The 21,244-nt window shown below is 55.9% G+C and overlaps 1 protein-coding gene across 4 annotated transcripts in view, besides 6 other annotated features; it reads right to left on the reverse strand.

Annotated features, from left to right (window-relative positions):
• The window catches only part of PDE2A (phosphodiesterase 2A), a 98,282-nt gene that overhangs the window by 62,325 nt on the left and 14,713 nt on the right, over window positions 1-21,244 (reverse strand). For 2 of the 4 annotated variants that reach the window (NM_002599.5, NM_001146209.3), the window contains one exon: window positions 3,789-3,861. In NM_002599.5, the coding sequence (NP_002590.1) occupies window positions 3,789-3,861 (73 nt within the window). Of the gene's footprint in view, window positions 1-3,788; window positions 3,979-21,244 lie in introns of those variants that run through there. The other 2 variants (NM_001143839.4, NM_001243784.2) reach the window with 1 other exon arrangement.
• Window positions 3,614-4,114: an enhancer, noted in NCBI's record as "H3K4me1 hESC enhancer chr11:72353123-72353623 (GRCh37/hg19 assembly coordinates)". NCBI's record gives its function as "activates a minimal SCP1, AML or CMV promoter by ChIP-STARR-seq in naive H9 embryonic stem cells {active_cell/tissue: H9 hESC(naive)}" and the evidence as "EXISTENCE:reporter gene assay evidence [ECO:0000049][PMID:30033119]".
• Window positions 4,433-4,772: a silencer, noted in NCBI's record as "silent region_3722". NCBI's record gives its function as "represses an Ori minimal core promoter by ATAC-STARR-seq in GM12878 lymphoblastoid cells {active_cell/tissue: GM12878}" and the evidence as "EXISTENCE:reporter gene assay evidence [ECO:0000049][PMID:35858748]".
• Window positions 4,433-5,138: a biological region, named in NCBI's record as "H3K4me1 hESC enhancer GRCh37_chr11:72354058-72354647".
• Window positions 4,549-5,138: an enhancer, noted in NCBI's record as "H3K4me1 hESC enhancer chr11:72354058-72354647 (GRCh37/hg19 assembly coordinates)". NCBI's record gives its function as "activates a minimal SCP1, AML or CMV promoter by ChIP-STARR-seq in naive and primed H9 embryonic stem cells {active_cell/tissue: H9 hESC(naive and primed)}" and the evidence as "EXISTENCE:reporter gene assay evidence [ECO:0000049][PMID:30033119]".
• Window positions 14,299-14,844: an enhancer, noted in NCBI's record as "H3K4me1 hESC enhancer chr11:72363808-72364353 (GRCh37/hg19 assembly coordinates)". NCBI's record gives its function as "activates a minimal SCP1, AML or CMV promoter by ChIP-STARR-seq in naive H9 embryonic stem cells {active_cell/tissue: H9 hESC(naive)}" and the evidence as "EXISTENCE:reporter gene assay evidence [ECO:0000049][PMID:30033119]".
• Window positions 18,192-18,693: an enhancer, noted in NCBI's record as "H3K4me1 hESC enhancer chr11:72367701-72368202 (GRCh37/hg19 assembly coordinates)". NCBI's record gives its function as "activates a minimal SCP1, AML or CMV promoter by ChIP-STARR-seq in primed H9 embryonic stem cells {active_cell/tissue: H9 hESC(primed)}" and the evidence as "EXISTENCE:reporter gene assay evidence [ECO:0000049][PMID:30033119]".

The raw sequence follows: 21,244 nt of genomic DNA on the forward strand, positions 1-21,244 counted from the left end.
GACCCCAGCACCAGAGGGTGCACATGCGGAGCCCCACAGAACCAGGCGCCCCAGACTGGGGGAAACACAGAAGGGTGGGCAACTGACAGCATGGCTGGACACAGAAGGTAGGAGCTCCATGAGGCCAGTTTGGCCACCACCATGACCCCGGCACTTAAAACTGTGCCTGCCTGGTACACAGCAGTGTTCCATAAAGACTTTTGGACAATTGCATGAGTTAACCTGCTAAATGAGACATTTGTGAAAGGACCCTGGAATTTGGAAATAACTGCCTAAAAGATGATGAAGATGACAATGTCAACGACAATGAAGATAATTCCAGCCAGAGACAATGGGATAAAAAAGGTACCGTGAAAGCTTGAGAAGGCTGGAGGCCCAGGGATGGCTACCCAAAGCCAGACAGTGTTGCCTGGGGAATGGCCAGCAAGATCCCTTTTGCCAGTCAGGCCAGAACCTTCCTCAGCCCCAGGCTGCATTTCTCTGCCCACCCCAACACCCCCTTCAAGGTCCAGTTCAAGCCTATTCATTTCAGAGAACCTTCTGGTATGTGACACTGCGGCATCGACCCCAGCCCCTTCCCTGACTGACTCAGACTTCTCTAAGCCTTCCAATCTCAAGGAACCTTGGATGTTTCTTCTCTCAAGCACCTGCTGGGAGGCAGCCCAGTAGGGTTTTCCCACAGCTCTCTCTGGAAGGTATGACCTCGATCCCCCTACAGACTGCGTCAGTCTAGAGGGTCCCCAAAGGTGTGACCAGCTCTCTCCTTTCAGATAAGTGTCTCTGTGAGGATGGGGACTCTTTCTCCTCCATCTGACCTGGAGTGAACACAAATAGAACTAAATCGAGGTCTTCCTGGTTGTCTCCAGGGGCTGCAGCCACACAGAGAAGGGGCGAGGGCAGGTGAACTTGGAGAAGTGAGTGCTTGGCTGCTCGGCTGCTCAGCCCCGCTGACATGAGCCAGGAAGGGCGCTGGGCCACTATGGACTAAGACTGCATGGCTGGCAAACTCCAAGCCCAGCCTAAGCTGTTCTTACACCAACAGGCGCCACCAAAGACACCACCCAGGCCTCACTGCCTGCGCCGTATGCCTCCCCTCTGCGGAGCACGAAGTGGTGTAGTAAACACAGTGACCTTGCTGCCACGTGCATCCTCTCCACACCCTCCTCCAAACCAAGGCCCCAAACACCAGTCAAACTAAGAGAACAAAGGTTCTCAGACCACGACATTGCCTGCCGCCCGCCTGTCCAGCGCCTGCTCCGCCGGAAACCCAAAACAAAGGGCTTGGTCAAGGCAAGGAGGATGAAGGGCAAAGGGTAGGGGCAGCTGGGGTTGGGGGGGCATGGAGAACATTCCAGGGCATCTCTAGGGACCTGATCAGGAGGGGAGCAAGAACAGGATGGCAGCCAAGCCCTTTTGCACACATGCGTCACTCCACAGACATTTATGGGGACACCCACTATATTCCACACGCCCCAAATGTTACAGACCTCATTCCTCACACACACCTCATGCACACACTGCCACCGCAGCACATTCTACAGTCCTCAACACCCCCAACACACACACCGCCAGCTCACTGGCCATCCTCCACTCACTCCTCACCACAGGCACACACAGCTCATGGGGAGAAAAGATCACATAATTCACACGTCACACCAAAAAGTCACCCAGCTCACACACCCTCACTTCACACCACACTCACACCGTCTCCCACCACGCACCTCACACACCTCTCACCTCCCCAGCCACAGGTGTATGCATCCAATTAAATTCAATACGCACGCCACCTAGACACAGAGACACATGCAGACACAACCTGCATAGATAATGTGCACACCTAATGTCACACGTTTGTGGGCACACACAGCCCCTCAGCATAGACAGCGCTGCTGGCCCACTGCCTCCTCCCACCCCACCCCATTCCCATATGCACGTGTACATGCACGCACACACACACACTCACACACTCACACACTTGTCAACTGGCTCCTCACCTCAGACCCCTCAGCCCTGGCTGCAACCCTTTCCTGTCCAGAATCGCGGGAGCAGCCACCACACAGACACATGACATTCAAACACCAGCACTCAGGTCCTAATAGATATATTACCCAAGCAATCCCAGGATGTGCCATAGTGACTCTAAGCCAGCCACCTAGGCTGCAAACACATTGGCACACACGGCACCCCCTGCCCCAACTCCTCTCTGACAAGACACCCAGTGGAAACCATCAGGCCCCTGCAGTGGCCCTTCCTGGCCACACACAACAGCCAGTAACACACACAACTACATATAGAATCCTGTATGCAAGCTGTCCCTACAACAACTCCACTGTACAATAACAGACATACAGCCACATACACACAAGTTCTCTACACACACAACAGCCACACACCCAGCTACCACTCCACAGCCACAACACTGCCTCCCCAGCCACACATAGCACACAATGCCATAGACCCATAATTCCCATAATCTCCCCACAAATAATCCCACTCTCGATGACACATTCATACACGGCACAACACACATGATTACACACAAGACACACCCAACACATGCAACCCAGCCCGTGCTACACACAGACAGGAACACTCACACAAACACATACACTATAGACCCACCCAGCCTGGACACATCCCACCGCAGGTTGACACCAGATTGCAGTTTACTCTTCCCTATCTCAAGCCCTAGCCGCCCCCGTCAAGACCAGGGCAGCTGGGATGAGGGGCTTTATAAGTTACAAAAGCCAGTGCCCACCACATCATCCCCCCACCACCTCAGATCCCTGGGCATCGCCTGAGGGCAGCACACTCCACATTTAGGCCCTTCCACCTGAGCCCACACCATGCCATGCCTGAGAACATGGGGGGCGGGGGTGTCCCAGGGACACTAGCCCTGCTCTCTGAGCCTGCCCCCTCCTCACCACAAAGCAGAGGTAGATACAAGAGGAAGGGGTGGCTGCAGAAAGAGACCCCAAAACGAAGATGGAGACCTAGAGAAACAGGAGAGAGACCAAGATAGACCAAGAGAGGTGGGCACATGGGGCAACAGACCAAATTAGAGAGCCCAGAAATACTTGAAGAGAAACCAGAGGAGAAGCCCAGAGAATAAAGTGGGACCACTGTACCTGGAGAGGAACAAGAGGAGGGGCCCCCCACGAGGAAAGACTCGGAGATCTCCAACACAGGAGGGAGGGAAGGGATCGGGGAGTGGGTCCCACAGAGAAAGCCAGTGAAGCCCTGATGGAAGGAGAGATTTGGACTCTGGGGTAGGTTCCAGGCTGAGGACTGAAGTCCAGATGTTTGGGTGGGAATCTGAGCGGGTGTCCAGTTGAGGCTTGGAATGGAGGTTTGGGGCTTTGGGTGAGGCCGGCTCTGAGGTGGAGTCCTGGATGACAGCTGGGGGTTCAGGTGCTCCAGGTGTGCCGGGAGCCCCACATATATGGTGAAGGTTCCGAGGCGTGGGCAGGGTCCCCACTAATCTAAGGAAAGGGAATTCGAGGCTTGGGCACAGCTCTCAGTGTGCACTGCGGTCCCACCGTGGACTGGAAGCTCAGTGCTTGGGGTGGAGCCCCGGATCCGAAAGGAGTTCAGAGTCTGGGGTGACGTGTGGACTGAGAGCTGGGGCTTCAAGGGCTCTTGGTCTGCGCTGCCGTCCCAGCACAGGAGTAGAATTCAGAACTAGAGGAGGGGTCTCCTCCCTGAGAAGGGTTCGGGGGCGGGCAGACCCGGCCCGGCGCTCGCCGGACACCCCGTTCTCCTGGTGCCCAGCGCGGGGGCCCCCCTACCTGCAGGCTGTCGGCGCATGGCTGCGGCGGCGGCGGCGGCTCGTCCGGCTTGAGGAAGACCTGCTGGCCCCGCCTGAGGAATTGGACAACAGCGATGAGGATGTGGTGCAGCACCAGGACCATGCTCGCAGCCGCCCGCCCGCCCGCCGGCCCGGCCGCTGCGCTCGGTCAGCGCGTCCGCGACAGCTTCGCCTGGTCCGCCCGAGTGTCCGCCCCGGCCCCGCCCCGGCCCGCCCCCCGCCCGCCCCCGGCCCGCCCCGGCCCCGCCTATGTCCCCGCCACCGCGGACCGCACCTCTCGGCCCGTCGGATCCTCCGACCCCACCGGACACCCGGCCGCTGTCACCCCGCTTCTGTCTCGCCCTGGGTTCCCTCGGCCCTTCCAGCTGGCCTGCTGTCAGCCTGCGCTCGCTGCCCCTCGCCCCGTCGCCACTTCTCTCGCATCTCGCAGGGGCCGCTCTCAGAGCCTCCACCCTGTCTGATCGCACCCTGTTTCCCCGCCACCACTCTGGGGTCCGGGGCCCGGCCAGAGCCCCAGGCAGAGACCGGCGCAGTGGGGTGGGGTGGGGAGGGAAGGGGAAGGGGGGCAGGGGCCGCGGACACCGCAGGAGCCTCGGGCTTGCTCCTCTCCCTCAGCCTAGGAGGCAGGGGGAAGTCGGGAGAATGTTGGAGGTCGCTGTGAGACGGACAGGCCCTGGAGCAGTCGCCCATCTGCGAGGGAGACACGTGCGCACAGACACCGAGCGCACACACGGCGGCCGCCACTGACTGGGGCCCCCAGGCCTGGGTGGGCAGGTCTCTGTCGCCGTCCCCGGAGCCGGAGAGGGTGCAGGCCCCAGGGCCACACGGTCCGCAGTTCCGCGGTGGGACCCGCGCTCCGGGAGCGCGTTTCTCCGCAGAGCGGCTTCTGGGTTCAGGAGCCTGCGGCAGCCGCGACGCTCCTGCGCCCCCTGCCGTCCCATCGCGGCGGCGCAATCCGGCCTCAGTTGCCGGCTGCCCGGAGGGGCCGCGTCCGGGGATTCAGCGGGTCACCGGGGTCAGCTCCCTGCCCGGACCGACCCGGTTCTTAGGCCTCTGCTTGGCATGAAAGCGGTTGGGGCGGCAGGACGTGTCTGGACTGGAGGGTGCGCTTGGGTCTCGCTAGGCCTTTGCCAGCGACTTGCCGCATGACCTTGCTCGGATCCCCTCCCCCCACTTCCTGGGCCTCAGTTTTCTCATCTCCCTCACAGGACGGCCAGGAGGACCAAACCCGGGAATGGCGGGAAGGTAGAGTCCCCCGACAGCCCTCAATGTGGTCTGACCTGAATCCCCCCGTCAACTGCACTGCCGGCCCCTCTCTCTGCAGCTCCCCTCCTCACCAACTCTTGGACGGTGACTCAGTGAGCTCCCAGCCTCCCAGCCTCCCAGCCTCCCAGCCTCCCCACCTCAGCTGGGTGATTCATCAGGGCCCTTTCTCCCTGGGGAGTGATTTTCTCAATGTTGAGTCATTGTGCCCATTCCTGGACACAGTCCAGGCAGCTGGCACATAGCCTTGGCAGAGCCCGGCCACCCCACCAACTCAGGGGGCAGCCCTCCATGCCAGCGTTTCTCCCACCTTTCTTTCTGAGGCATGCTCTGGCATGCTCTCCCCCACTCACCCTCAGTGGCTCCCTACCACCAGCACAATAAAGCCCGAGCCCTGAGCCTGGCGGGCCAGACCCTCTACAGCTGAACCCTTGCTTGGTCATCCAGCTCTGACTCCCCTCCCCACCATTCCTTACATTTCTACTTCTTGCTCTTCTCACATCAATGACTGACTGACTCTCACCTCCAGGCCTTTGCCCATGCCACCCCACCCCCAATACCCTCCCAGATCCTTCCCTCCTGCCTGTCATTTAGGGGCCATTTGAAGGCCCACCTCCTCTGGGAGGGCTTCCCTGGTTACTACCTTATCCCTCTGGGTAGCCCTTTTTTGTGTCTTTCCTGGGAGTCACATCTGGGGACTTAGGAGAGGTGTAGAGTAAGTGATCTGGGCCAAGTCAATGTATTTTACTGAATCTTCCAAACAGGGGCAATTCATCCTACTTATTAACACTGTAGAAAAAATTACCTGGGCTAAGATGTGTAAAGGTTCTGGCCCCCACAGGGCCTCCCTTCCTATTTTTGGCCTCAGTTTTCTCTTCCGTAAAAGGGGATGACCCATGTAAGGGCTGTTGGAAGGACTAGGTCTGAGTCTGAGCTCAGTGCACAAGTCTCTTGGTAAATTCTGAGCATGTGTCACTGGCTCAGTCCTGGGCTCTGGACAAGGCTGGGTGAGATACAGGTGCCCGGGAGGTATCTGTTACAGCCACTGGCCAGAGTTACTTGTTCTTCAGGGGAGGCCACCTCAGACCATGGTCAACAGCCGACCCTGGCCTGGCACCGCCACCATCTCTTGGGCTCCCAACTCCAGGCACCACCTCCATGGCACTCACCTCTTGAGAAGTTATTTTATTTATTTTATTTTATTTTATTTTATTTTATTTTATTTTATTTTATTTTTTTGAGACGGAGTCTCGCTCTGTCACCAGGCTGGAGCGCAGTGGCGCGATCTCAGCTCACTGCAACCTCCGCCTCCCGGGTTCAAGCAATTCTCCTGCCTCAGCCTCCCGAGTAGATGGGACTACAGGCATGCACCACCATGCCCAGCTAATTTTTATATTTTTAGTACAGATGGGATTTCGCCATGTTGGCCAGGATGGTCTCGATCTCTTGACCTCATGATCCACCCACCTCAGCCTCCCAAAGTGTTGGGATTACAGGTGTGAGCCACTGCACCCAGCCAAGAAGTTATTTCTTCAGTCTTACTTGAATCTCTCAAACTACAGCTCAATGACTGGGGTCCCTGGTGTGTGCTCTATGTGTCCCTCAGCTCAAAGAGTCTTTCTGTGTCAACCTTTCAGATCCAAGCATTCCTCAGAGGGTTTGAGTCCTAACTGTGCCATAGACTTGCTGTGGGATTCTGAGCAGGCCACAGCACCTCTCTAGGCCTCTATTTCCCCATCTGTGAAATGTTATTACACTAGACTCAATAAACAAGTGCACTGCTTTCTTCCAGTGCTTGGTAGAGTGCAGAGCCCTTTCAGAAAAACCCTCTCACACAATCCTTGAAATTCCCCAACCAGCACCCTTCCTGAGGGGGCAACCAAGGCTCCTTGAGTTGGCACATTTAAAGGCCTTGCCGAGCTCTTATAGCTAGGAGTGACCCCACTCCAAGGACTCCTCCACTCACACGCAGATCCCTACCTCACTCCAACTGCACAATCTGTGATCCTGTTCTGGGTTCTCACCCTGACTCATGTTAGAATTGCCTGGGAGCATTTTAAATACTGATATCTGGAACCCCCATCCCAGATGTTTGTGAATGTCCCCCGGTGATTCTAATTTGCTGCCAGGTCAGAGAACCCTGGAGTAGATGCATCTCCTCCCTGGCTGACCTCTGTCCCATGGAGGTGAGGGCCAGGGCTGGCCCCTACTGGCCGAGTGTATACATCTGGGGCTGGGAGGCTTTCGCATTTATTGAGCACATACTGTGTGCCTCACATTTCATCTTCTCAACAATGTTATAGGGTGGGATCTATTATTAGTCACACTTCACAGATAAGGAAAACTCAGGCACAAAGTAAACTGCCCACAGTCACATAGCTTGTAAGTAGTCAAAATTCAAACCCAGGCCATCTCACTCCAGTCTGTGCCTTAAATACATTCCTTGCTTCTTGAGCAAAGCCAGGTAAGGAAATCAGATTTCCCAGCTCCTCTTTTGTCCCCAAGAATGCAGTGGCTGAGGGTCCTACTATCCCGGTGTCTGCACCCTCTGCCCATCTCGGACACCAGGAAGCCCAGTCCCAGCCCCAGCTTTCCTCCCAGCTCCAGCTTAGGAATGCATAGCCCAGCCCCTCTAGCCAACTCTTTTTGTCTTCCCACCTTAGAGGCCACTTGGCCTGGAAAAGGTGACTCAGCTGTCAGCCTGGGTCCTGGGCCCACTCAACCTCAGGCCCTGTCTAGGAACCAGCCCTGCCTTGTTCCTAATAAAAATGACACCTCTCATTGGTAGGGCCTTGTGCTGGCAAAGCATTTCCTCACCCAGGCCAGATCCAACAGCCTCAGGAGGCACGGCATTAGCCCCATTTTACAAATAAGGAAAGTGAGGCTCAGAGAAATGTAGATGCTTACCTGAGATGGCACAGCTGGTTACTATAGGAATGTGAACCCTGGCCTATAGACTCCAAACCCAGTGCTCTTTGCACCAAGGATAAGCAGCTACTATGTAGCCCAGGACCCCCCAAAGCCAGGGCAGGTTCACTCTGACCATGTTCACCCTCTGCTCATAATCTTCACTGGGCTCCCCATGGCCTCCAAGGCAACATCCAAACTCAGTATAAGATGCAAGGCTCATCCCCACGTGACTTTTTCCTGCTGCTTCTCCTACCACTTCCCGTCCAGCCATGCCTGACTCAGCTGTACCCTGAACCTCTGGCTTTTCTTCCACCTCTTTGCCTTTGCCCAACCTGTTGCCCTCCCATTTTGAATACCCTTCCAAAGGCATATCTGCCTGCCAATATCATACTTTCATTAATTCATTCATGCCATAAATATTTACTGAGAATGTACTCCATGCCGAGTTTTGAGGGTAAAGAAATTTGAAAGTTAGATCTTTCAAGATGCAGGAAGAAAACTGCCATCCAACGAGAAGTAGCCCCCACCATCTCCCCAGTCTATAATGCCCTCTTCCTTCTTCACCTATCCCCAGCCCTCCCTCAAGAGCAGGGCCTGTCTGATTCTTCCCTGAGTCCCCATGGTCCAGCCAAGCTGGGAGCCCTGTGGTGCCCAGTGAGCTCTGGTGAAGAAGCACCATCTCTCCATCTCACACACTTGGTCCTGGCAGATCTCCATAGACTGTAAGTCTTTTCCTATCCCCCATGACCACATGTCTTGCTTCCAAGGGCCTGTCTGCTGCCTGACATGCATCTATCCTGTTGCCATGGACCATGGTTACACCCCCACCTGGAAGCCCAGGTTCAAACCCTAGCCCTTCCCTGACATGCTGGGTGACCTCAGGCAAGGCTTTGGCCCTCCCTGGTCTCAGACTTCTCAGCAGCCGTGAAGCTTGGCCTGCTTCTCTTTGAGTGCTCAGGAAGCTGAGGTGGAGGAGGCAGTATCCAGGCAGGCCTCCCTGGGCAGAAGGTACCTCTCCTGAGCAGATGGTCCTACGCAGGCACCAGGCCCAAAGATATGGACAAGGGCTGGATCCTGGTATTGGAGGACCCTCAGGAGAGGCTGTGTGTGACTTGCTCTCTCTGTGACCTGGGCTAGAGCCCATGGACTAAAAGAGGGCCCCACTTCCAAGGGCTCTGTGAAGGGACAATCCAAGATGCTTCCTGGAAGAAACTGACATCTCTGCAGGTTCTGCCTCCATCCAGACCCTTTCCTCAACACTCCAGCCCTGGAGTGGGCACAGGTGTTCACCTGGGCAGGGGTGAGCCACCCTTAGGCTGCTCTGTATGTGTGTGCATGTGTGTAAGGCTGCACACAGGCTTGTAAGCATGATGTGTGTGAGGGTGGAAGAGAGTGTGAGCACAGGTTTGTATCCTTGTGAGGGTGTGTGATACTGCAGTGGTATAGCTGAACTTATATGTGTATACACAGATATGTCTGTGTATCTATAGGGGTTGGCACGGGTGTGTCTATGCAGATAGGCATGTGTCTGTGTGCAGAAGTGAGTGTATATTCACACATGCAGGTATATGTGTGCAGTGGTGTGTGTACACAAGTGTCCAGGAATAGCATGTGCGTGCTTTCACGTGTGAATGTGTGTGCAAGTATGTGACACGTGTTTATGCTCTAGCCCAGGTCAGAGAGAGAGCAAGTCACACACAGCCTCTCCTGAGGGTCCTCCAATACCAGGATCTAGCCCTTGCCCCTATCTTTGGGCCTGGTGCCTGGGAAGGCCTGTCTGCTCAGGAGAGGTACCTTCTGCCCAGGGATGCCTGCCTGGATACTGCCTCCTCCACCTCAGCACCTGCCAGAGGTGCTGCCCATGGCCACCAGTCCAGATCCAGCTCTGTGTCCGCTGGCTATGGCTCCAGATGTGGGGGTAGCCCTCACAGAGAGAGGATGTGGCCACGGGCAGGTGCTGGGGACAATGTGAATTTCAGCTCCTAGTGGGCAAGGCCTGTTCCCAGAGCCCTGGCAGCAGCTCTGGGTCAGGAAGGGTACAGGCTGAGTGAACTCAGGCCCAGGGGATGGGGGCTGTAGGGTGGGTCAGCCACAGGCCTCATCCATTTTCATGTGATTTGCATGCATGTTTGTCTTGTCTGCAGCAGATGGCTGGCCCCATGACCCTCTGGGGGAAGGGAACCCATAGGATTCTAGTCCAGGACTAGTCTAAGACCTGCCAGCTCACAGGGGATAAAGTCCAGGGGGCTCGAGCCCCAGCATACCTTAGGCCTTAGTCTCTGCTCCCCATCATCCACAGACCCCAAGATCCTTCCTTTTCACAGGCTGCCCTGGGCCACAGAATCTTACACACATACACCCCTATGCACAATTGGAGTCTTTCCATAGATACACGTCCATGTTCCTATCACGCCTACACCCCAGTCCTCTACACAGACACACATCCTCAAGCACATGCTCACACAGCTCCTACACAGAGGCACAGGTGGCCACGCCTGCTTCTGTGCCTCCTCTTCGATGCCCACACTGGCTGGAGTCATCTTTTCCACACCTAAATCTGATTCTGCCTCACCCCCACCCATATGGCTTCCTATTGCCAGCAGGACAATTGGAGCCCTGGTCCTGGCCTTCAAGGCCTTCCAGGTCCTTAAGTCTGGACAAAGCCTCCTCTCATGCTGCGCCCACACTCTGCCTTCTGGCCACTCTCCCCACCACTCACCAATACTTCTCATCACGGTCTGGAAGAGCTCAACCTTCCCACCATGCTGTCAGCTCTGTTTTGCTCACTGCTGTTTTATCCCAGCAAATAAGAACAAGTCTTGACCCAGAAGAATTGCTCAAAAAGACATCTACAGACTACAGGAATCAGTGATGGAACTGCCTCCCAGCCAGGTATGCCCCCTTTTGTAGGACTTACCCAGCTATATTTGTGTCCCTGTGTGCCTCCCCCATCAGACTGGGGCTCCTCTAGGCAGAGACTGAATCTGATTCAGCTGCACATGTCCGTGTTCAGCATAGGCCAGGCACAGAGCACAGGAGTTGGGGCTGGATCAGAGGCAGTGCCTAGGGTGCAGCAACCCCCTTTGTGAGGCCCAGGGACGTCTGGAAGGTGGGGCTGGTGGGGCCCCCAGAGCCAATCACACAAAACATGATTGTCTCAGGGAAGTGGCCTCCAGACTGCTTCCTCTGCCCCATCTGAACCCCTTTCTGGAGTCACTCTAGCCATTCAGCCCCTACCCTGCTTGCACACTCCCAGGGACAGGGAACTCACTTTCTTACCAGCCGGCTCCTTCCCATGTGGGATGGCTGTGCCTGACACAGACTCCTTCCACAGCGCCATCCTGTCAACCCCTGATCATCCTGAGCCACAGATTCCCATGGAAACCAGAAAGGAAGATGAGCAAAAGGAGAGGCAGATGCCAGCTTTCTTAGCAGCTCTAACAACCTTTCCAGCTTTGGGCAGAGTTGGGAAAAGGAGCTCTTGCTTCTCAGCCTACCCCAGGGACAGAAGACTCCCCCAGCCCCAACCGCCGTCCTCAGGAACCTGGAGCAGTGCAGAGACAGCCCTGAGACTTTTTTTTTTTTTTTTTTTTAGATGGAGTCTTGCTCTGTCGCCCAGGGCTGGAGTGCAGTGGTACAATCTCGACTCACTGCAACCTCCGCCTCTCAGGTTCAAGCAATTCTCCTGCCTCAGCCTCCCGAGTAGCTGAGATTACAGGCGCCTGCCATTACGCCCGGCTAATATTTGTATTTTTTGGTAGAGGCAGGGTTTCACCATGTTGGCCAGGCTGGTCTTGAAGTCCTGACCTCAAGTGATCCATCTGCCTTGGCCTCCCAAAGTGCTGGGATTACAGGCGTGAGCCACCGCGTGTAGCCAACCCCAAGAAACTCTTCAGCAACCTCCACTGAGCCACATCCCCTTGCTGAGCCCCCATCCTTCTCTCTGAGTCTCCACCCTCTCAAAAGGTCTCCCACCCACAGAGCCCTTGGCTCCATCCTAAGCCCCAGCCCATCACTAAATCCCCAGCCCCTTCACTGATCCCACACCCTTCAAAGACTCCCACTATATCTCTCATCCCCCCGTGCCCCACCTCACCGCAGATAAAGGTCCCAATCCTTCCCCAATCTCCTCCCCTTAGTGGCACCTCCTACCGTCCAGGCTGCAGAACCTGGAGGGGCTGCTCTGACTCCAGCCCTAGGAGTCCCATGGAGATGCCTCCTCCTGATCCTGGTAGCAGGCTGGGTAGGGGACGAAGGAGGCAGGCTGGTCCTCTGCCAAAGGCAGCCACCCAGAGCCCTGCCCTGTACCACCAGACAGCTGCAGCCCTGAGGCTGCCCGGCTTTCCTCCACCTGCTATTCCTGGGCTGGCCCCACTCCAGGGGTGCCTCAGGTTAGAGTCAGTCCCTGACCCCTGACCCCAGTCCCCACTACACACACACACACACACACACACACACACACACACACACACACACACACATACACAAAGGCTACTAAGAGCTGAGCCCATCAGAGATACCAAGGCAAGAAGGTCTAAGCAACAGGGACCAAGGCCCCATACTCTGAACACTCCCTGCTAACTCAGAAACCATCACACAGGGAGGCCCCAGTCTATGGCTTCAAGGCTCCAAGAACTCCCAGAGCTTCATGTTCTTAGAAAATCAAAGCTTCTGTTATAACACCCCATCATTCAAAAAGTCTGTTTTTCTTACATTCTGTGAATGCGAGAACCTGGGGTCTTGAGAATGTAGAAGCCCAAGATTCTAACATTCTAATGTCCTGACTGCCTGAGATGCCTGATTGCAGGACTCTAAGACTCCAGCACCTGGTTTCTATGCCCCTGAGAGCCTAATGGTCAGTGGGCTTGAGTCTCTGTGATGCCAGGTAAAGGGGAGGGCACAGCAGCAAGCACCTGTGTCTGCCTGCAGTTGGGGATACCAAGGACTGGGATTGGGAGAGCCCAAGGAAATGAACACCCACTCCCAAGGGGTGTCAAGGGAGTGATGGGTGTCCTGGAAGGGGCACGCAGGGAGAGGCCAGGGTCTGGGGGGGTGACTCGGTCTAACCACCATCTCCAACTCTCCAGCTGTGTCACCTTAGACAAGTGCCTCCTGGAGACCCCGTTTTCTCACTTCTAAACTGGGGATCAACTGGCCTTCCTTGAAAGGTGGCTGTGAATACATGAGAAGAGGCTCAAAAGTATTTAACAGAGAGCTTGGCACTCCCAACAGCTCAGAAAAGGATGTTGCTTGTTGTCCTTATGCCCCAGCAGGCCTCAGCATCCTCTGGCAGTGCCAGTGCCCATGGCTTGGGATAAGGGATCTTTAACCCTTTCCTGGCTGCCCAAGTGACATGAAACTCTGTCCTCAGGCCCCCGCCCAAGTCTATCTCATCTCCTTTCCTCCCTCCCCACCTTCCCTGGTGGCCTGAAGTCCTTAGTGCAGAAGACAGGCCTGAAAAGAGGGAAGAGCTGGGCCCTAGGACCAGGAAGCCCTCCTACTTCTGAGCCTGTTTCCTGATCTCTACGATGACAGAGTGGGGCCTTCCATGGACACTTGCTGGCCCCAGGATTCAGGCTGTGTGGCCATGGTGGCCTTGGTGGGCAGGCCTGGCAGGGAAAAGGAACCAGTGGGAGCCCCTCTCCTGGGACCAAGTGACAGGGCAGAAGTAGGGAGCAGCATGAGAATAAGCAAGGGGACCCCAATGTAGCTCCCTACCCAGCAGCCCCAAATGCTAGAGGAGAAATTAGTCAAGCCCATCCCTTTGCACCTGGCAAGAATATACCTCCCAGGAGACAGAGTCCCTTCTCCATGGGCCCATCAGCCTGCCTGTTGTGTTTTGTTTTTTTGAGATGGGGTCTCACTATGTTGCCCAGGCTGATCTGGAACTCCAGGGCTCAAGTGATCCTCCTGCCTCAGCCTCCCTAGTAGCTGGAATTACAGGTGCATGACATGGCACCCAGCTTGGCCTGGCTGCTTCTGGCAGAACCATTTCCAGATATGGCCCCTGGTCCTCCCTAAATACTCCAGCATATGTGAGGTGCATGCCAGCCTCCACCCCTTTGCTTACACCATTCCACAGGCCTGAAGAACCCTCCTTCTCCTCTCTGTCAATTAAATTTTAAACAACTTTAAAGGGGAAGGGAGGGGAATGGCCATTGATGACCACCTACTAAGTGCCAGATCTATTCTCTCATTTAATCTTCATGATATTATTAGCCCAATTTTACAGTTGATGAAACTGAGGCCCTGGGACCTGAGGTCATTCGTCCAAAGTCATGCAGCTAGAAATGATGGAACAGCAATTTCAACACAGCCCCTTCCAGCTCCCAAGCTTGTGCCTCTTGCAGCAGGCTGACTTGGGGAAAAGAGCCCAGGGCCTCCCCCAGTCCTTCCTTGGCTTCAGGGCTGTACTTGAGCAACTCCTCCCAGCCCAGCAGTCCCCCCAGCTCCAGAAGGCAGAGACCACAGTCCCCTCCTCTCTTGCCTCCTCAAGTTGGAGGCAACCTAGAGCCTGGCCACACTTCCTGATTGATCAAAAGGCACTCGCTCAATCGGCAAAGGCTCCTGTGGTGGGACTGGGAGATGTGGCATTCTGTTTCTAAGCACCCGTCGCTATGGAAGCCAGGTGCTGCCAGCCCAAGGCCTAGCAACAAGGCACGGTGCAGGGCGGAGGCCATTGTTTGGGGCTTCCGAGGCAGCCAGCAAGAGAGAGGGAGGGTGGACTCCATCTGTTCTCTGGGCTGGAGGGCTGGACCTGCTGCCTGGCTGGGCTCTCGAGGGGAAGAAGGAGGCAAAGAGGTCAAGACCAGTCAGGCCCTGAGAGACAGAGGCCCAGAGATAAGAGCAGAGAGAAGCATATAGAGAAAAACAAAGGGAGTTCAGAGACAGTGAAAGGCAGAGACACCATCAGACAGCAAGAGAGATTCGGGAAGGTGGAAAAAGATAAGAGCTGGCCAGAATCGCAGAGACTGCTTAGACAGAGACCAGAGGCAGGGGGGTCCTGATTCCCAGCGAGGCTCCACTCCCGACTCCCAGGGAGGGAGAGGGTGTGCCAGGGAGTGAGGCAGAGTCGCAGGGGAGTGACAGAGGTGGATAGAGGCATGACAGGAGGAGATAAGCCTGAGGCAGGAGGCAATATAGAGATAGTAATAAAGGAAGAGAGGAGAGGACTGGAGAGGGACAGGTGGTGACTCGGACGCGGAGACAGACAGCAGTGGGGCAAAACGGCAGCAATACCAGGTCAAGGGCACCGAGGCCACCAGAGTCCTGAGCTGGCCCCAGTCCTGGGCCCCTGCTCCTTAGTCTGCCCATCAGTGGCATGGGGGTCACCCCCCAGCCTCGCCTGTCCCCTAGAACACAGAATCATCTGGGCACAGAAGCTCAGAAGAGAGACTCTGGAGGTCAGAGGTCACATGTGTCTCTTACCCTCAAGGGGACAGGTCTTGCCCAAGATGGAACAATGAGGTAGTGCCTGAAATAACAGGAAGTCAGGGCTTGGAAATCCCAGTCCAGAGATCCTTGCCCACCTCCACCCCAAGTGACACCACTCCTAGTTGCCCATGGGGGCTCAGTTAGTGCAGAGAGGCACATTTGTCCCCATACCAGAGTGAATGAGGAGATTACAGAGCCTAAGATGGAACACCTCCATAGTGGGCAGAGCTCCAGCCCTGGGATGTTTACTTCCCTCTTTCCCAATAGCAGGCCCTGTGTCGGGGCCCTGAGGACCCACCAGTGACCGGTAGAACACAGCCGCCCACCCAGCGCTGGGACCAGGGGAGGCAGGTGCTAGAGAACCCAGAGCAGCCTAGCTGCTCGGCGTCAGGGAAGTGGCAGGCACTTGACGGGCAACATCTCATTTAACCCTCACCAGAGCCTGTCACGGATGAGAGGGCTGAGGAAAGTGATTTGCCCTAACCTCTGCCAGCCAGCAGGTGCCTGAACTGGGGCTCAATCCCAGCTCTCTTGAGGCCAGTGCAGGTGGGAGAGCCTGGGGGAGGCTCCTCCGCCGGGGAAGAAGCAGCCAAGAAGCAAGGTGACCAGGCCTGCTCAGGAGCCCCTCCCAGAGGGAGAGTGTGGGGTGGCCTGGGGTGGGTCCCCAGCCCTCCTCCGGCCACCACTGCTCCTAGCACCAGACATCTCTCCCCTCATCAGGATGGGTGACAGCATGCTCTCCTCCGCCCCAAGCTACCTGTCCTTGGGATTGCTAACACTGTTAGCTGCACCTGCCAGCCAGCCCTGGGAGCTCCTGTGCCCTCAGAGGCACCCAGCTGCTCTTGGTTTCTCCAGACTCTTACTGGAGGAACGAGACAAGATGAATTCAGCACCCACTATGTGCCCCTTTACATTTCTTAACTCATCGTTTTGTCTGTCGAGGTCTCCAAAGGCTCTGAGGTGGGCTTGCCTCACATCCCCACAGCTCCAGCCCCCGGTCCCCCTACCCACCCATCCCCAACCACCATAGGGTGACTCTTGCAGCACCCACCCGAGACCTGCCTCTAGGGCAGGGCGGGATGGTAGCAGCAGGCACACAGGTGCCTGGGAACTGGGAGTTTGATTCTCAGCCTCTGTAGTGCCCAGGTTGGGGACAGTGGGGGAATCAGGGGAAGGTGTGGGGCTGGCAGGTGAATGGCAGGAGGAAGGCAGGAGCAGGGGAAGGGAGCCAGGGGAAGGCGGGCAGCTGCACACCAGCCTCGCCCCACACACACCCTGTACGCACTCAGAGACTGTGCTGCTGCCCAGAACATCGACCCGTGGCGCCACACTCCCCTGGGCCCCAGTTCCTGGAAGGAGGCACTGCAGGGATGATCGATCGACTGTCTCCCAGCCTCCCCTTTCCACTGCCTGGAGGCTGCTGCCTCCCTGCAGCTCCCCAGCCAGCCAGTGCCACAGCCAGGGTGAGGCAGCCTGGGGACAATGAGCAGTGACCCCTCATGCCCTCTGCAGCCCAGCATTCTCCTCACTCCTCAAGAACCTGGCCCAGGTAGATGGATGGTACAAGAGCCAAAATGGTGGCTCGTGCTCATGCATGCAAGTGAGTGCCTGTGTGTGTGTGTGCACGCACGTGTGTGTGTGTGCATGTGTGTGTGTGTGCACAGGTGAGTCAGTAGAGCAGGAGTTGTGAATGCAAGATGTGAGCCATAAGGATGTGGGTTCAAATCCCAGCTCCTCCATTTCCTGGATATGGAGCCTATGCAAGTCACTTAACCTCTCTGAGCCTGAGTTTCTGTATCTCTACAGTGGAGTGATGAATGAGATGATACATATGGCTCTGCAACAATACTTGCCATACAATATTCTTTTGCTACACGAGAGCTTTTATTAGTGTTACTGTGAGTGTGTGTGCCTGTGTGTGCATGTGCACGTGCCCTAGGGAGATTCAGGAGGGATTTCTGACACTCCAGCAAGGGAGTGCAGGCTATTCCCTAACCCTCGGGCCCCCCAGAGTGGGGGCTGCAGCCAAACTCTTGGCTCAGCCTCAGAGGAAGACCTGCTGTGCCCCCCTTCTCCCCAAACAAAATCACCTGTGCTGGGCAAGGCTGTGTGGGGAGATGGATGGCTTGGCGGCCACCAGGCAGGACTGGTGATTAGGAGGCTCACGGCCCGGCATCCGGAGAGGAATGGGAGGGAGGTTGAGCTGCAGAGCCATCCATCAAGGCTGGCAGGCCCAACCATGCTGCACAGTGGGGTGCGAGAGGCGAGGGGAGAGCCACGAGGGGGGCCATGTAGACAAGCTGAGGGCCAGACGCTAGGCCCAGCCCAGCCACTGACCTGTTGTAACCCTGAATGAGTCACTGTTACCTCGGGACCTCAGTTTCTTCATCAGGACAATGGGGCTAAAGGTTTATTCTGCCTGGATAAGTTCCAGCACAGCAGGCCCAATATCAGGCCCCAGGGCCAGAAGGAGCCCTGAGGAGAATGTGAGGGGCTCGGGGGGGCCCTTGCCTCCTGTAGGTGCCTAACTCAGCCAAAGGCTCCTGAGAGACGGAGGAAGGAGATGGAGCACAGAGTCTGGGCTGGGTCTCCAAAGACCCAAGTTTGAATCCATCTCTGACCCTAATGCCTTGCTGGCCCTGGCAAGCCCCTGACTTCCCAGATCCTTCCCTGGATGCTCACCTCCACCCCACTCCCACCCCCAAACAGGCCAGACACGAGCAGAAAGGACTATCGGCATAGCCCTTGCTGATGCAAATTTCATTCAAACTGAGGGCAAAGTCACCCATGGGCTCTCCTCGCCTTTCTCGGAGGTAGTGATTACCTGGGAAAATCCTGGCCAGCAAGTCTGGGGCAAGAGGTCCCAGCTAGAGTCCAGCAGGACCCAAGCAGAGCCTGTACTCTCAGTCTGTCTCTAGTGACTTAAGCTTGAGCAAGTCACTTTCCCACCCTGGGCCTGTTTCCCCATCTCTAAAATGAACCCTCCCATTTAAAAATCAAAGAAGCAACAACAAAAATCTTCAGGGCTCCTCTTCCCCCAGGGACAAACTTCAAACTCCTCACTGCATCCACTCTCTCCCAGTCCTTCTCGAGCCTCGATTCCTCCCACGTTCTCTGCTCCGCATCTCACACTTAGGCCACTCTGAACATCTGTCGCTCCCCCATCCCACGCTGCTTCATCTCTGACCCTGCCTCTCTACTGAAAACCTCCTCCCCACTCATCAGGGTCAGCAGCCACTTGCACAGCCCCTGGCCCAGCTGGGTCAGGCCCTCTCACCAAGCCATCAGTGGTCCCCACACACCTTCCCTGAGGCCTAGACCAGAAGGTGGCTGTCCCCCACCTCACTCAGCTCCCCGGGGTGAGGGCTGAGCCTGGCTTTATTCCCAGAGGAGGGGAAAAGGGTTGGCAGCCCAGGGCCTCAAACAGGAACAAGGCTCAGAAGAAGTGGGAGGAGGGGAAAGAGGAGGGATGGAGGAATGAAAAGAAAGGGGGAAGGAAGGAGAGAAACAACTGTCCCCAAGGTCCCTCTGGATGGAACAATCTGAATGAACTCCAGTCCATGCCAGATGCAGCCCCATGCCCCGGCCCCTGCCCCTCCCACTCCTCCATCTCCCTCAGGCCCCAGCCCCGCTCACACACGCCAGTACAAAGGCCCAGAGCCAAAGGGGTCTCTGGCCTCTGCGGCTGAGCCCTGACTGGAGGCTAAGAGTGCCATGTGGTTGTCATAGCGATGCTGGATGCTGTCATCACTAATTCATCACCTGAACCCTGGAAGGCCTATGAGGTGTGAGGAGAGCTGGTCAGAGCTGATCAGAGCAGCCACTGGACATAGGCGTCTTAGGATCTTGGATCTGGGGGAGGAGCAGGGATTGAACTCCATCACCCCAATCCAGCTGTGCCCTTCCCTCAGCCTCCCAACACCCTGGTAAAACAAGCACAGACCTGCCCCCATCTGTTATGTGCACCTACTGTGTGTCCAGCTTGGTCCAACTGCAGAGGCAGCCTCAGTGAAGGCCATGATGGGAGCCTCCCACCCAGCCTCTGTGAGCAGGGCAGGGCATGTCCCTCCTGATGTCACAGGAGCTGAGGAGGGGTGGAGGGAAGAGGGAGGGAGTTCATATGTTGTGCCTTCTCCTGGCAGGCATGTACCAGGCATCTTTAAAATGTAACTCATTTAATCCTCCCAGAAAACCTGCAGGGTCAGAATCATTACTCCATTTTACGGATGCCGGATGTCTTCTCAGCTAATCCTCCCATCCAATCCTCTGGGAAGCCTTTCAGGATGCCCCACCCCGACTTATCGCTGCCTTCTCTGAACTGCCAGCAATGGTGGGTGAGGGTTCTGGTCTCCCCCATCAGATTGGGCTGGGAGCTCCTCCTCCTCCCACCCCAGGTTATGGAGGAAACAAGGGCAGATCTTCCCACCTAGCTACCCTCCTGGCAGCCAGAAGACCACCCTCATCCAAGCAGGCTGGAGCTGTGGTTCTGATCCCTCCCAGGACTTTCCCTGGAAGTCACCACCTCCTCAGCCTGGAGGAGAAATGCCAGACTCCCACCTGTGAGGCACCCCTGCAACCTCCCCACCTGCCCCCCCACACACCCTAGATTTTTTCTGTTTTAAATTTTTTTGAAGTAGAGATGGGATCTCGCTAAGTTACCCAGGCTGGTCTTGAACTCCTGGCCTCAAGTGATCCTCCCGCCTCAGCTTCCCAAAGTGCTGGGGATTACAGGCATGAGACACCACACCCAGCCCACACTGCCTATTTTCTTCACTCACAACCTCAGGAAAATGAACTTTTTTTTGGAGCAGGAGAATGGGAACAAAATTAACACGCAGTCACACAACAAAGCATTTACTGAACACCTACTTTGTGCAGTCCTATGAATGAAGCTTGAGATACAACAATGAACAACACAAACCAAACCTAATCCCTGCCTTTGTGGGCTTTTGGTCTAGCAGAGTCAGCACCGAGTCTTCTAATTTTTTTTTTCTTTTAAGAGACAGGGTCTCCCTATGTTTCCCAGGCTGGTCTCAAAACTACTGGGCTGAAGCACTCTGTCTCAGCCTCCCAAAGTACTGGGATTACAGGTGTGAGCCGCTGTGCCCAGCTGAGCACAAAGTCTTGCTTTGCACATTTTAACCCACTCAATCCTTATAATATGCATGCAGGTGGATGTTATTGTGCCCACTTTATAGTGGAGGAGACGGCAAAGCTTCTGGTGATAAAGGAACCTGCCCAAGCCCACGTGCTGGCAACCCGCAAAGGCAGGAGTCACACCCAGTTGTGTCTGACTCCCAAGTCTCATTCTTGGTCTCCCGCTGGGTGAGGAGGCAGTCACAGACCTAATCCCTGCCCTCACAGAGTTTACAATCTAGTGTTGCCGTCCCAGTTCTCAAATAAGCACCACTGGGAAGTGTTCTTGAGTCTGATCCGAATCCCTCCTGCTGCAGCTCTGACTCGGCCTTTCTTCCTTAGGACCTCAGTGGGGCGGAGGATCAGCTTTCATCTCCTTGCAGACACCTGGGGTGCTCCCATGAGTTCCCAGCCTTTTTTCCACCCCCACCTTGCACAGAGGCCTCCCCCACAGGAGAGAGTGAGGTGTGTGCTCTAAAAATACCTTAATCCCTCCCTGCTTGCGCTCTAATTAAGCTGAGTGAGTCACTACTTTAAGTAATTTATTGCTAGTTACATAATTGCTTTAATATTTAGTTCTAGAACTGGGGAACAAAAGTGACCCCCTTCTTTTCAGGGAATTGTTAATCTATAGAGTGGGGTTTATGGCCTCTGGTTGGAGGAGGATGGGGAGAGGAGTGGACCATCTTGGCC

Source organism: Homo sapiens, chromosome 11, assembly GCF_000001405.40.
Source record: "Homo sapiens chromosome 11, GRCh38.p14 Primary Assembly".
Classification (NCBI taxonomy): domain Eukaryota; kingdom Metazoa; phylum Chordata; class Mammalia; order Primates; family Hominidae; genus Homo; species Homo sapiens.